The following is a 13,557-nucleotide window of genomic DNA, read 5'->3' as shown; positions in this document are numbered from 1 at the left end:
ATCTCAGCTCACTGCAACCTCCACCTCCTGGGTTCACGCCATTCTCCTGCCTCAGCCTCCCCGGTAGCTGGGACTACAGGTGCCTGCCACCACGCCCGGCTAATTTTTTTGTAGTTTTAATAGAGACAGGGTTTCACCACGTTAGCCAGGATGGTCTCGATCTTCTGACCTCGTGATCCGTCCGCCTCGGCTTCCCAAAGTGCTGGGATTACAGGCGTGAGCCACCGTGCCCAGCCCTCCTTGCTCTGTAATTCTAAGATTACCTAATTCTAAGATATTATGTGTTACCTGATTTAGTATTGTATAAATAGTTTCATGTTTATTTCCAGACACATCATCAGCTGGAACATTTGTATAGGATTTAGTCATTTGGTCAGTAACACAGATGAATGCAAAGCTTAAGAGAGCTTCAAAGAATTCCAGGAAAACCAGCTGAAATAAAATAAAACACAGAGAGTTTCCATCATTCTGACACACCTGGAGACAGAGCATTGATTGACTGGTGTTCATTATTTCCTGACATCTGAATATGCACGTTTGCCCACACACACACAGACATGCAGACATGTGCACAAAGACACACACACATGCACACACACGCACAGACACGCACACACATATATTAGGTACTTGTGTTCAGAGTGCTTTCAATCAAATCTTGGTTCTTAGGCTGGTCACAGTGGCTCACATCTGCAATCTCAGCACTTTAGGAGGCTGAGGCAGGAGGATCATTTGAGCCCAGGAGTTTGAGATCAGCCTGGGCAACACAGTGAGACCCATTCTGTACAAAAAATTGTTTTTAAAAAATCAGCTGAAGGCTGGGCGCGGTGGCTCATGCCTGTAATCCCAGCACTTTGGGAGGCCGAGGCAGGTGGATCACGAGGTCAGGAGATCAAGACCATCCTGGCTAACACGGTGAAACTCCGTCTCTACTAAAAAAAAATACAAAAAAAAAAAAAATTAGCCGGGCGTGGTGGCGGGCGCCTGTAGTCTCAGCTACTCGGGAGGCTGAGGCAGGAGAATGGCGTGAACCCGGGAGGCGGAGCTTGCAGTGAGCAGAGATTGTGCCACTGCACACTCCAGCCTGGGCAACAGACTGAGACTCCGTCTCCAAAAAAAAAAAAAAAAAAAGCATCAGTGAAAAGGCTAATGAAAAAAAGAAAAAAAAAATCTTGGTTCTTTGTCCTTGGTATCCATGGCAAAACCAACAGCCTGAATTGGATCTGTACCATTTGTGATGGCTCTTTACAAACCTCAGGTTCAAAGTTGCTGTCAATTCCATCATATATGAAACGATTATCCTCTGCTATGACCTCCATAAATGTAGCTGCTGTTAATTCTTTATTTATCATTTTAAAGTCCTGTAAAAAAGAAAAACCATAACTGCCTATAATTGTAAACAGCTATATGTTTTAATGTCAATTTATATCAATACAATAACTAAGAAAGTATACCAGAAATTAATATCTTTTTTCTTTTTTTTGAGAGACGGAGTCTCGCTCTGTCGCCCAGGCTGCTAGGCAGTGGCGCAATCTCAGCTCACTGCAACCTCCACCTCCTGGGTTCAAGTGATTCTCCTGCCTCAGCCTCCCAAGTAGCTGGGACTACAGGAACACACCACCACGTCCAGCTAATTTTTGTATTTTTAGTAGAGATGGGGTTTCACTATATGTTGGCCAGGCTGGTCTCAAACTCCTGACCTCAAGTGAGCCGCCTGCCTCGGCCTCCCAAAGTGCTGGGATTACAGGCGTGAGACATTGCGCCCAGCCATAAATTAATATCTTAAAGACTGATAATTTTGAAAAGCATTCTGGATTAACATGGGCATTTGCGGCCAGACATGGTGGCTCACACCTGTAATCCCAGAACCTTGTGAGGCCGACGTGGGAGGATCACTTGAGCCCAGGCGTTGGGGATCAGCCTGGGCAACATAGCAAGACCCTGTCTTTACACAAAATTAAAAATGTAGGCCGAGCATGGTGGTGCATGCCTGCAGTCCCAGCTACTCAGGAGGCTGAGGTGGGAGGATCACTTAAGTCCAGGAGTTTGAGGCTACTGTGAGCTGTGATCATAACACTGCACTCCAGCCTGGGTAACAAAGCAAGAACCTGTCTCAAACACACACACACACACACACACACACACACACACACACACACACACACACGTATTTACCTCTCTATCCCTTCTCTAGTGCCTCCAAAATAACAGCAGAGTATTTGTTGGCATCAGAACAGGACATAGAACATGGGAGACCAGAACACGGTCCAGGTGTGAAATATTAACACGATGCTGTAGGCCGAAAAGCACGTCGGGAAACAACGTGCTGCACAACAAAACCGATGTGACCGCAGAATAATTGACATGAAGAAGAGTTAAGCTCCTGACCACACGGCACTGGTTGAAGTCACAGTTTCCAAGAACCTATCAATAACGTTATGTGGGGCCGGGCGCGGTGGCTCACACCTGTAATCCCAGCACTTTGGGAGGCCGAGGCAGGCGGCTCACGAGGTCAAGAGATCCAGACCATCCTGGCCAACATGGACAAACCGCATCTCTACTAAAAATACAAAAAAATTAGCTGGGCATGGTGGCATGTGCCTGTAGTCCCAGCTACTCGGGAGGCTGAGGCAAGGGAATCACTTGAGCCCAGGAGGCAGAGGTTGCAGTGAGGTGAGATCGTGCCACCGCACTCCAGCCTGGGTGACAGAGCAAGACTGTCTCAAAATAATAATAATAATAATGTTAAGTGAGGACTTACTGTACTCAAATGTTCAGGTTTCAATGTTTTTTTTTTTAAATCACTCATACCGACCAGCCTGGGCAACATGGTGAAACCCTGGCCAACATGGAGAAACCCCGTCTCTACTAAAAATACAAAAATTAGCCTGGCATGGTGGCACGCACCTATAATCCCAGCTACTTGGGAGGCTGAGGCAGGAGAATCACTTGAACCAGGAGGCAGAGGTTGCAGTGAGCTGAGATCACGCCACTGCAGTCCAGTCTGGGAGACAGAGCAAGACTCCATCTCAAAAACACAACAACAAAAAAAAAACTCATACCAAGAACCAGGAAGATCTCAAACTGAATGAAAAAAAGAGAATCCACAGATGCCATCTCCAAGATGACAAAGATGTTACAATTGACTGACAGAGACTGTGAGACAGTCATCACAAAAATGCTTCCATGAGGCTGGGTGTGGTGGCTCATGCCTCTGATCCTAGCACTGTGGGAGGCCGAGATGGTTGGATCACCTGAGCTCAGGAGTTTGAGACCAGCCTGGGCAACAGGGTGAAACCGTCTCTACTAGCCGAGCGTGGTGACATGCACCTGTAATCCCAGCTACTCGGGAGGCTGAGGCAGAAGAATCACTTGAACCCGGGAGGCGGAGGTTGCAGTGAGCCAAGATCAGGTCGCTGCACTCCAGCCTGGGCGACAGAGCAAGACTGTCAAAATAATAATAATAATAATTATTATTATTATTATTATTCAATGGGCAATTGCAAACATGCTTGAAACAAATGAAACCATGAAAAGGGCCAGGTGCAGTGGCTCACGCCTGTAATCCCAGCACTTCAGGAGGCCGAGGCACGAGGACTGCTTGAGCCCAGGAGTTCAAGATCAGCCTGGGCAACATGGCAATAACCCGTCTCTACAAAAAATAGAAAAATTAGCTGGGTATGTTGGCACACACATGTAGTCCCAGCTATTCAGGAGGCTGAGGTGGGAGGATTGCTTGAACCTGGGAGGTTGAGGTTGCAGGAAGCCAAGATTGCACCACTGTACTCCAGCCTGGGTGACAGAGTGAGAACCTTGCTCAAAAAAACAAAACTATTTTCCTATAGTTAGACACTAGGTTATTATCCATTTTTCATATGTATACAACATTATGAAATTTGTAAAAACACTGTATCATTAGTATTTGATTCTGTTTAATCATTTGTATTCCCACAAGTACAAATTAAAAGTACCATGGAACAGGCCAGGCACAGTGGCTCACGCCTGTAATCCCAGCACTTTGGGAGTCCGACACGGGCGGATCACGAGGTCAAGAGATTGAGATCATCCTTGCTAACACAGTGAAACACTGTCTCTACTAAAAAATACAAAAATTAACTTGGCATGGTCATGCACGCCTTTAGTCCCAGCTACTCGGGAGGCTGAGGCAGGAGAATTGCTTGAACCCGGGAGGCGGAGGTTGCAGTGAGCCGAGACCTCACCACTGCACTCCACCCTGGCAAAAGAGCGAGACTTTGTCTAAAAAAAAAAAAGTATCATGGAACAAAAACAACCAATAGTTAGTATGAGAACATTGTATAGATGTTGTCACTATTTTCCCAAGTAATAACTTTTAAAAATTCCTTTTTCGATAAACTGTAATTGTTTTAAATGATATCCATCCTCCCCACTTCCTTAGTTTTTTTTTGAGACAGAGTTCTGCTCTTGTTGCCTAGACTGGAGTGCAGTGGCACAATTCCAGCTCATTGCAACCTCGGCCTCCCAGGTTCAAGCAATTCTCCTGCCTCAGCCTCCGAAGTGGCTGGGATTACAGGCTCTGGCCACCATGCCTGGCTAATTTTTTTGTATTTTTAGTCGAAAGGGGGTTTCACAGCATTGGCCAGGCTGGTCTCAAACTCCTGACCTCAGGTGATCCACCCCCTCTGCCTTCCAAAGTCCTTCCTTTTTAAAAAGATTTCAGTTGACTTTATTGCTATTCTAGGATCAGGCAACACTTCAGTCCATCAAAAAGACTAAGGTGTTCCTCCATTTTCCTTTTTTGTTTTTTGGGGGATTTTTTTGGGACAGGGCCTCACTCTGTCAACCAGCCTGGAATGCAGTGGCACGATCACAGCTTACTACAGCTTCCCGAGTAGCTGGGACTACAGGCGTGCACTACCACGCCCGGCTATGATTTTTTTATTTTTTGTAGAGAGGGGGATCTCACTATGTTGCCCAGGCTGGTCTTGAATTCCTAAGCTCAAGTGATCCTCCTGCCTCGGCCTCCCAAAGTGCTGGAATTACAGGGGTGCCCCGCTGTACTCGGCCCTATCTTCCTTTAAATGGCTGGATCTGCATGAATAAAGATATTGTAGGCCAGTCAGGCACAGTGTCTCACACCTGTAATTCCGGCACTTAGGGAGGCTGAGGCGGGTGGATCACCTGGGGTTGGGAGGTCAAGACCAGCCTGGGCAACATGGTGAAAACCCGTCTCTACTAAAAATACAAAAATTAGCCAGGTGTGGTGGCGGGCACCTGTAATCCCAGCTACTTAGGAGGCTGAGGCAGGAGAATTGCTTGAACCCAGGAGGTGGAGGTTGCAGTGAGCCAAGATCACTTCATTGCACTCCAGCCTGAGTGACAAGAGCAAAACTCCGTCTCAAAAAAATAAAATTAAAAAAATATATATATTTATTATATATATATTTATATATATATATATTTTTTAAGACAATGGCCCATGGCATATATAAATATATATGTCCATGCTGGTCTTGAACTCCTTGACCTCAGGTGATCCGCCCGCCTCGGCCTCTCAAAGTGCTGGGATTGCAATATATATATATACGCATGCCATGGGCCATTGTTATAGGCCATGGACCATTGTCTTGCCCTAATCTGTTAGCATATTGGGCAGGTGACAGCTGTTTCTGTTCCTTCCACGACCACAGACCACTGTTCTGCCAAGAGACTCAGTAAACATTTAATGGTCCTGAAAACCCAGCCCAGATCTTCACCTGATAATTTGCATATCACAGCTGGAATATCCTGCCTTTCTTTAATTAAAATCAAAGTGCCTGTAAATAGAAAGCCAATATCGAACTTAGGTGGTTACTTTCAGCATCCAGAGGAAGTGTCTCATCTTCATCGTAGGCTCGTGGGGAGGCGCTGCACTGGGTCTGCAGTAAGCGAGATAAATCTCCCAGCACTTATTCATGTAACTCATAGAGTAGAGCGTCCGCTGTTGCTCACGGAATAAATTGCCTAAAAATACAACGTTCGAAAAATGATTACAGATTTATGTTTTGAGAAAAAAAATAGCAGTAAATATAATCCTATTGCTTTTGTTTTTTTCCGAGACAGAGTCTTGATGTCACCCAGGCTAGAGTGCAGTGGCACCATCTTGGCTCGCTGCAACCTCCGCCCCCCAGGCTCAAGCGATTCTCCTGCCTCAGCCTCCCGAGTAGCTAGGATTACAGGCATGCACCACCATACCTGGCTAATTTTTTTGTATTTCTAGTAGAGATGGGGTTTTGCCATGTTGGCCAGGTTGGTCTTGAACTCCTTGACCTCAGGTGATCCTCCTGCCTCGGCCTCCCAAAGTGCTGGGATTGCAGGAGTGAGCCACTGCGCCCAGCCCAGATTTATATTTTGAGAAAAAAAAATGGGGCGGTAAATAGAATCCTATTGGTTTTGTATTTACCTTTTATCTGGCAGGCATTTGGACGAATGTTCTCGGTCATCAGTTTTGTAAAACACAAGAAGAGGGATGGGCTTCTCTTTCTGTGATAATCATCAAAAGATACCATAGTTACTTCTCCTCCAAAAGAGGGAACATAATTCCCTTCTCCTTGAGCACGGGCTAGACTTAATAATTTGCTTCTAATGTATAGAGTATAGAAAGGGAAGGCAAAGTCAGTGGCTCAAACCTATAATCCCAGCATTTTGGGAGGCCAAGGTGGGCGGATCACTCGAGGTCAGGAGTTTAAGACCAGCCTGGCCAACATGGTGAAACCCCATCTCCACTAAAAATACAAAAAATTAGCTGGGCTTGGTGGCAGACACCGGTAATCCCAGCTACTTGGGAGGCTGAGGCAGGAGAATCACTGGAACCTGGGAGGTGGAGGTTGCAGTGAGCCGAGATCGCGCCACTGCACTCCAGCCTGGGTGACAGAGCGAGATTCCATCTCAAAAAAATAAATATGTAAATAAAAGTTTTTTTAAAAAAAGATATAAAACCACTTTTGCTGTAAGAAAGACAAGAAATTCTGATGTAAGAAAGAAGACTTGGTTGTGACTATTTGTTTCTGCATTAGAAACCCCGAGAGATATTTGCAGTATTGAACTGACCAGATATGAAGGGCTTTCAAAGTTTTGATCCAGTATGTCATGGCTTTGTGGTTAATATTTGTGGAAAGGTTGTGTTCTGAGTCCTTCATTTCAAGAGTATGTTAAAAAAAGACTGCTGAGGCTGGGCATGGTGGCTCACGCCTGTAATCCCAGAACTTTGAGAGGCTGAGGCAGGTGGATCACCTGAGGTCAGGAGTTTGAAACCAGCCTGGCCAACATGGTGAAACCCCGTCTCTACTAAAAATACAAAAAAAAAAAAAAAAAAAATTAGCCAGGCATGGTGGCACATGCCTGTCATCTCAGCTACCCAGGAGCCCGAGGCAGAAGAATTGCTTGAACCGGGGAGGCAGAGGTTGCAGTAAGCCAAGATTGTGCCACTGCACTCCAGCCTGGGCGACAGAGCAAGACTCCATCTCCAAAAAAATAAAAATGACTGCTGAAGAAAAGAGGGCATTATGACAATAATACAGCTTAGCTGTGCCCCATCCCCCAACAAGGGTCCAGAAATAGTACTTACTGGAATTCTTCATGATAAATGTGGTACGCCAAATGCAGGAGGTAATTCAAAAATGTTCTCAAAAGTATTGTTGTAAATGGAGAATGGATTTCTTCAACTGGTATGTCATTATTGGCTAAAATAAGAAAATTGGAGAGGATGCCTGACATTTGCTAGAACCTTCCATTTTATTTGCGCCTGGTATACAATTCGAAGAACTGAATATATGCGCTTATTTCAAAATGCTCTGAACATGTGTATAAGCGTCCAACCAAAAATTTAAAACTCCGTGAAAGCCAGGCACGGTGGCTCACGCCTGTAATCCCAGCACTTTGGGAGGCTGCAGCAGCAAACTGCCTGAGGTCAGGAGTTTGAGACCAGCCTGGGCAACATGGCGAAACCCTGTCTCTACCAAAAATACAAAAAATTAGCCAGGTGTGGTGGCGGGCACCTGTAATCTCAGCTGCTTGGGAGACTGAGGCAGGAGAATCGCTGGAACCCGGGAGGTGGAGGCTGCAGTGAGCCGAGATTGAGCCACTGCACTCCAGCCTGGGCAACAGAGCGAGACTTCATCTCAAAAAAAAAAAAAAAGATGTCAATCTTGTCCCACTGTTTTCCAGAATAGTCTGAGACACAATCTGATGAATGCTGCTAATTCTAAATGGATTTTAAGTATGTTTCAAACACTAAACTTTGACGTAAATAGGCATTTGCTCTAATACTTCATTTTTCAAGCGGATAATTAGAAGCTTGCAGCTCTGCCTGCCAGGATTTGGCTGAAAGAAGTTAAACTTCCAAAGTTGTTAAATTGATGACATCAACTTCCTAATTTGAAATCAAGACCAATCCTAAGACTACTTAGGGCCTTTTCTAGACTCTTCCAAGCCATTGCTGATTCTCCCTGTTTTGTTTTTTTTTTTTTCTTTTGAGACAGAGTCTCACTCTGTTGCCCAGGCTGGAGTGCAGTGGCACAATCTCGGCTCACTGCAACCTCCGCCTCGCGAGTTCAAGCGATTCTTCTGCCTCAGCCTCCCGAGTAGCTGGGACTACAGGCACGTACCACCACACCCAGCTAATTTTTTGTATTTTTAGTAGAGACGGGGTTTCACCATGTTAGCCAGGATGGTCTTGAACTCCTGACCTCATGATCTGCCCACTTCGGCCTCCCAAAGTGCTGATTACAGGTGTGAGCCACCGCATTTTTTTTAGAGACAGAGTCTCACTCTGTCACCCAGGCTGGAAATCTCGGCTCACTGCAACCTCCACCTCCTAGGCTCAAACGATTCTACTCCTGTCTCAGCCTCCCAATAAGTAGCTGGGAATACAGGCATGTACCACCATACCTGGCTAATTTTTGTATTTTTAGTAGAGACGGAGTTTCACCATATTGGCCAGGCGGGTCTCAAACTCCTGGACTCAAGTGATCCACCCGCCTCGGCCTTCCAAAGTGCTGGGATTACAGGCGTAAACCACGAGGCCTGGCCATCTCCCCATTTCTGACCTGACAATTTAGTGCTCTTTTACTATAGATCGCTGGTCAGGGGGAGAGAGGGAGGCAAACTTTCTGTAAAGGGCCAGAGAGTAAATATTTTAGGCTTGGTGGACCAGACCGTCTACATCACAATCCCTCAGCTGTGGTGCTTCGGGGTAAAGCAGTCACGAACACGTAAGCAAACGGGCATGTCTGTGTTCCAGTAAAGCATGATTTAGGGGAACGGGGGTGGACTGGATTTCACCCTGAGACCGTGCATTGCTGGCCCTGCTTTTGTAGGTGACCTCGTGCTGTTGCTGTTACGTCACGAGACTGTCTCTTTATCAAGTACCTCGTAATCACGGGGGAAATGACCACGCGCTGATTTCTGGAACACTCGTCTCCCAACCTGGGCCTTCCCAGCTCCCTCCACATTTCCTAACTGCTTTCCAGGTGACACTGTGATACTGTCCTTGAAACCAGAGGTCCCCAACCTTTTTGGCACCAGGGACCGATTTTGTAGAAGACAGTTTTTCCATGAATGGTGGAAAGCGGTGGGGGGCTGTTGGTTTCAGGATGATTCAAGCACATTCGAATTACTGCACGCCTTATTTCTATTATTATGACACTGTAATACATAATGAAACAATTCTACAACTCGCCATCAGGTAGAATCAGTGGGAGCCCTAAGCTTGTTTTCCTACAACTAGACAGTCCCATCTGGGGGTGATGGGAGACAGTGACAGATCATCAGGCATTCCATTCTCCTAAGGAGCGTGCAACCTACATCCCTCCCATGCTCAGCTCACAGTAGGATTTGCGCTCCTATGAGAATCTAATGCCCTGCTGATCTGCAGGAGGCGGAGCTCAGGCGGGAATGCCAGCGATGGGGAATGGCTGTAAAAACAGATGAAGGTAGGCTGGGTGCGGTGGCTCATGCCTGTAATCCCAGCACTTTGGGAGGCCAAGGCGGGCAGATCATCTGAGGTCGGGAGTTCGAGACACGCCTAACCAACATGGAAAAACCCCATCTCTACTAAAAAATACAAAAATTAGCTGGGCATGGTGGCACATGCCTGTAATCCCGGCTACTCAGGAGGTTGAGGCAGGAGAGTCACTTGAACCCAGGAGACAGAGGTTGCGGTGAGCCGAGATCGTGCCACTGCACTCCAGCCTGGGCAACAAGAGTGAAACTCTGTCTCAAAAAAAACAAAACAAAACAAAACAAAAAAACAGATGAAAGTTCACTTGCTTGTCCACTGCTCACCTTCCACTGTGTAGCCTGTTTCCTAACGGGCCATGGACCAGTACTGCTCCCTGGCCTGGGGGTTGGGGACCCCTGCCTTTTGTGTGTGTGTGTGTGTGTGTGTGTGTGTGTGTGTGTGTGTGTGTGTGTGTGTGATGGAGTCTCGCCCTGTCACCCAGGCTGGAGTGCAATGGCACAATCTTGGCTCACTGCAACCTCCGCCTCCTGGGTCCAAGCGATTCTCCTGCCTCAGCCTCCCAAGTGGCTGGGATTATAGGCATGCACCACCACGCCTGGCTAATTTTTTGTATCTTTTAGTAGAGACGGGGTTTCACCATGTTGGTCAGGCTGGTCTTGAACTCCTGACCTCGTGATCCGCCTGCCTCGGCCTCCCAAAGTGCTGGAAGTACAGGCATGAGCCACTGTGCCCGGCCTGGTCCTCTGCTTTAAACCAAAAGATGTGAAGGATCTGGAACACTCACCACTTAATATCCTGTCCATATCAGCAAGAGTTAGTTTGTGGTGATGAAATTTGCAATCTTTTAGAAATCTCCAGAAGTGAAGCTTTGTCATCAGAAAGGTATTATCCAGAGAGTGGCCGCATCCCAGGCTGCTGTAAAAGCTGTAAATTCTTCTTAATTCTGTAATATTTCTTAAGACGGCATATTCCACCTGAAAGGAAGAAAGTCATACGTGGATTAAGAACAAAAGACAGCCGGGCGTGGTGGCTCACGCCTGTAATCCCAGCACTTTGGGAGGCCGAGGCAGGCAGATCACCTGAGGTCAGGAGTTCCAGACCAGCCTGGCCAACATGGTGAAACCCCATCTCTACTAAAAATACAAAATTAGCCGGCCGTGGTGGCACATGCCTGTAACCCCAGCTACTCAGGAGGCTGAGGCAGAATTGCTTGAACCTGGGAGGAGGTTGCAGTGAGCCGAGATCATGTCACTGCATTCCAGCCTGGGCGTCAAGAGTGAGACCTTGCCTCAAAATAAAGAAAGAAAATTTAAATATTTTAAAAAGAACAAAAGACACAACACCTGTGTCCTACATTAAATGCGATAATACAAGTAAAGTAATGGCATTTAGCTCTTTCCACTGTAAGAACTTAAGAAGTGTTTGTTTGTTTTGTTTTGAGATGGAGTCTTGCTCTGTCACCCAGGCTGCAGTGCAGTGGCACGATCTTGGCTCAATGCAACCTCTGCCTCCTGGGTTCAGGTGATTCTCATGCCTCAGCCTCCAGAGTAGCTGTGATAACAGGTGCCCACCACCATGCCCGGCTAATTTTTGTATTTTTGGTAGAGATGGGGTTTCACCATATTGGCCAGTCTGGTCTTGAACTCCTGACCTCAGGTGATCCGCCTGCCTCGGCCTCCCATAGTGTTACGATGACAGGCGTCAGCCACGGCACCTGGCCAAGAAGCATTTTATTCTTTCCACCCACCCCCCTTGGTCAATAAAATGCCATCTCCGACCAACAGTAAAAACAAAACAAAACAAGTTATCTGGAAAGTAGACTTCCTTTCACATGGCAATGGGCTGGCTTCCCCTCTCAGTGGCGGCAACAAAATTCTATTGTCTGCAGATCCTTATCCTTCATCAACAAATGTGCAAAAATCCTCAACAAAATAAGTTGAATCCAGCAATATATAAAAAGAATAGTAGCCATGCATGGTGGCTCATGCCTGTCATCCCAGCACTTTGTGAGGCCGAGGCGGGAGGATCGCTTGAGCCTGGGAACTCGAGACCAGCCTGTGCAACATAGTAAGACTGTGTCTCAACTGAAAATTAAAAATTAAAGAAATTAACTGGCCGGGCGTGGTGGCTCAAGCCTGTAATCCCAGCACTTCAGGAGATCAAGGCAGGCGGATCACAAGATCAGGAGATCGAGACCATCCTGGCTAACACGGTGAAACCCTGTCTCTACTAAAAATACAAAAAATTAGCCGGGCGTGGTGTAGACCCAGCTACTCGGGAGGCTGAGGCAGGAGAATGGCGTGAACCCGGGAGGTGGAGCTTGCAGTGAGCAGAGATCGTGCTACTGCACTCCAGCCTGGGCGACAGAGCAAGACTCCCTCTCAAAAAAAGAAAAAAAGAACCAGACACAGTAGCAAGTGCCCGTATAGTCCCAGCTACTCAGGAAGCTGAGGCGGGAGGATTGCTTAAGCCCAGAAGGTCAAGACTGCAGTGAGCTGAGATCGCACCACTTCACTCCAGCCAAGGTGACGGAGCAAGACCCTAAGACCCTATCTCAACAAGAAAAAAAAAAAAACAAAAAAAAAGATAATATAGCAGCACCAAGTAGGGTTTCTCCTAGAATTGCAAAGCTGGGTTAACATTTGAAAAATCAATCAATGTAATTCACAGACTGAGGAAGAACCAAATGATTCTAACAACTGAAGCGTTTCACAGAATTTCACATCCATTCATGAAAAGCACCCTCAGCAAATTAGGAATAGAAAGGAATCCCTCAACCTGATAAACAGCATGTACAAAACACATGCAACTCACACCACACATAGGGCTGAAAGTCTGAAAGAAGCAATATTCCGCCAGGTGCAGTGGCTCATGCCTGTAATCCCAGCACTTTGGGAGGCTGAGGTGGAAGGATCACCTGAGGTCAGGAGTTCGAGACCAGCCTGGGCAACACAGTGAAACTCCATCTCTACTAAAAATACAAAATATAGCTGGGGGTGGTGGTGCATGCCTGTAATCCCAGCTACTCAGGAGGCTGAGGCAGGAGAATCCCTTGAACGCGGGAGGCGGAGGTTGCAGTGAGCTGAGATCATGCCATTGCACTCCAGCCCGGGCGACAAAAGGGACTCCGTCTCAAAAAAAAAAAAAAGGAGCAATATTCACGGTGGTTGCTTTACTCACCTCCCTCTGTCACACTTCACCTTTTAGGATTTTTCCCCAGACCTTGACGCCCTTAAGCTGCCCCAGATTCCCCACACATGCAGCCCTGCCCTCTACACAGCGTCCTGTTCTCCAGAACCACTCACCCCATGCCCTACCCTCATAATGAGACATTCAGAGAATGCGAAGAACAGGATGCAGGGTCCTAAGGGAGACAGAGCCCTACCTGGGCGGCTTCAGGCATTTGTTACGCTGAGCATTCATTCCTGCTTTTGAAAACGCAATTCAACTGAATAAACACATACAATCTAAAGCATTGTTCTAGGCCGGGTGTGGTGGCTCACACCCATAATCCCAGTATTTTGGGAGGCCGAGGTGGGCCAATCACCTGAGGTCAGGAGTTCCAGACCAGCCAGGCC

General features: G+C 46.9%; 1 protein-coding gene across 14 annotated transcripts in view; it reads right to left on the bottom strand.

The window, feature by feature from the left end:
* RSPH10B2 (radial spoke head 10 homolog B2) overlaps nucleotides 1–13,557 on the bottom strand; it is a 46,666-nt gene that overhangs the window by 11,456 nt on the left and 21,653 nt on the right. For 10 of the 14 annotated variants that reach the window (XM_024446906.2, XM_047420782.1, XM_024446903.2 and 7 more), the window contains 6 exons: nucleotides 10,764–10,953; nucleotides 7,586–7,700; nucleotides 6,422–6,501; nucleotides 5,834–5,982; nucleotides 1,254–1,361; nucleotides 289–432 (listed from right to left, as the gene is read on the bottom strand). In XM_024446906.2, the coding sequence (XP_024302674.1) occupies nucleotides 289–432; nucleotides 1,254–1,361; nucleotides 5,834–5,982; nucleotides 6,422–6,501; nucleotides 7,586–7,700; nucleotides 10,764–10,953 (786 nt within the window). Of the gene's footprint in view, nucleotides 1–288; nucleotides 433–1,253; nucleotides 1,362–5,833; nucleotides 5,983–6,421; nucleotides 6,502–7,585; nucleotides 7,701–10,763; nucleotides 10,954–13,557 lie in introns of those variants that run through there. The other 4 variants (XM_024446904.2, XM_024446905.2, XM_047420783.1 and 1 more) reach the window with 2 other exon arrangements.

Source organism: Homo sapiens, chromosome 7 (genome assembly GCF_000001405.40).
Source record: "Homo sapiens chromosome 7, GRCh38.p14 Primary Assembly".
Lineage (NCBI taxonomy): Eukaryota > Metazoa > Chordata > Mammalia > Primates > Hominidae > Homo > Homo sapiens.
This window is presented reverse-complemented; position numbering and strand designations above follow the sequence as displayed.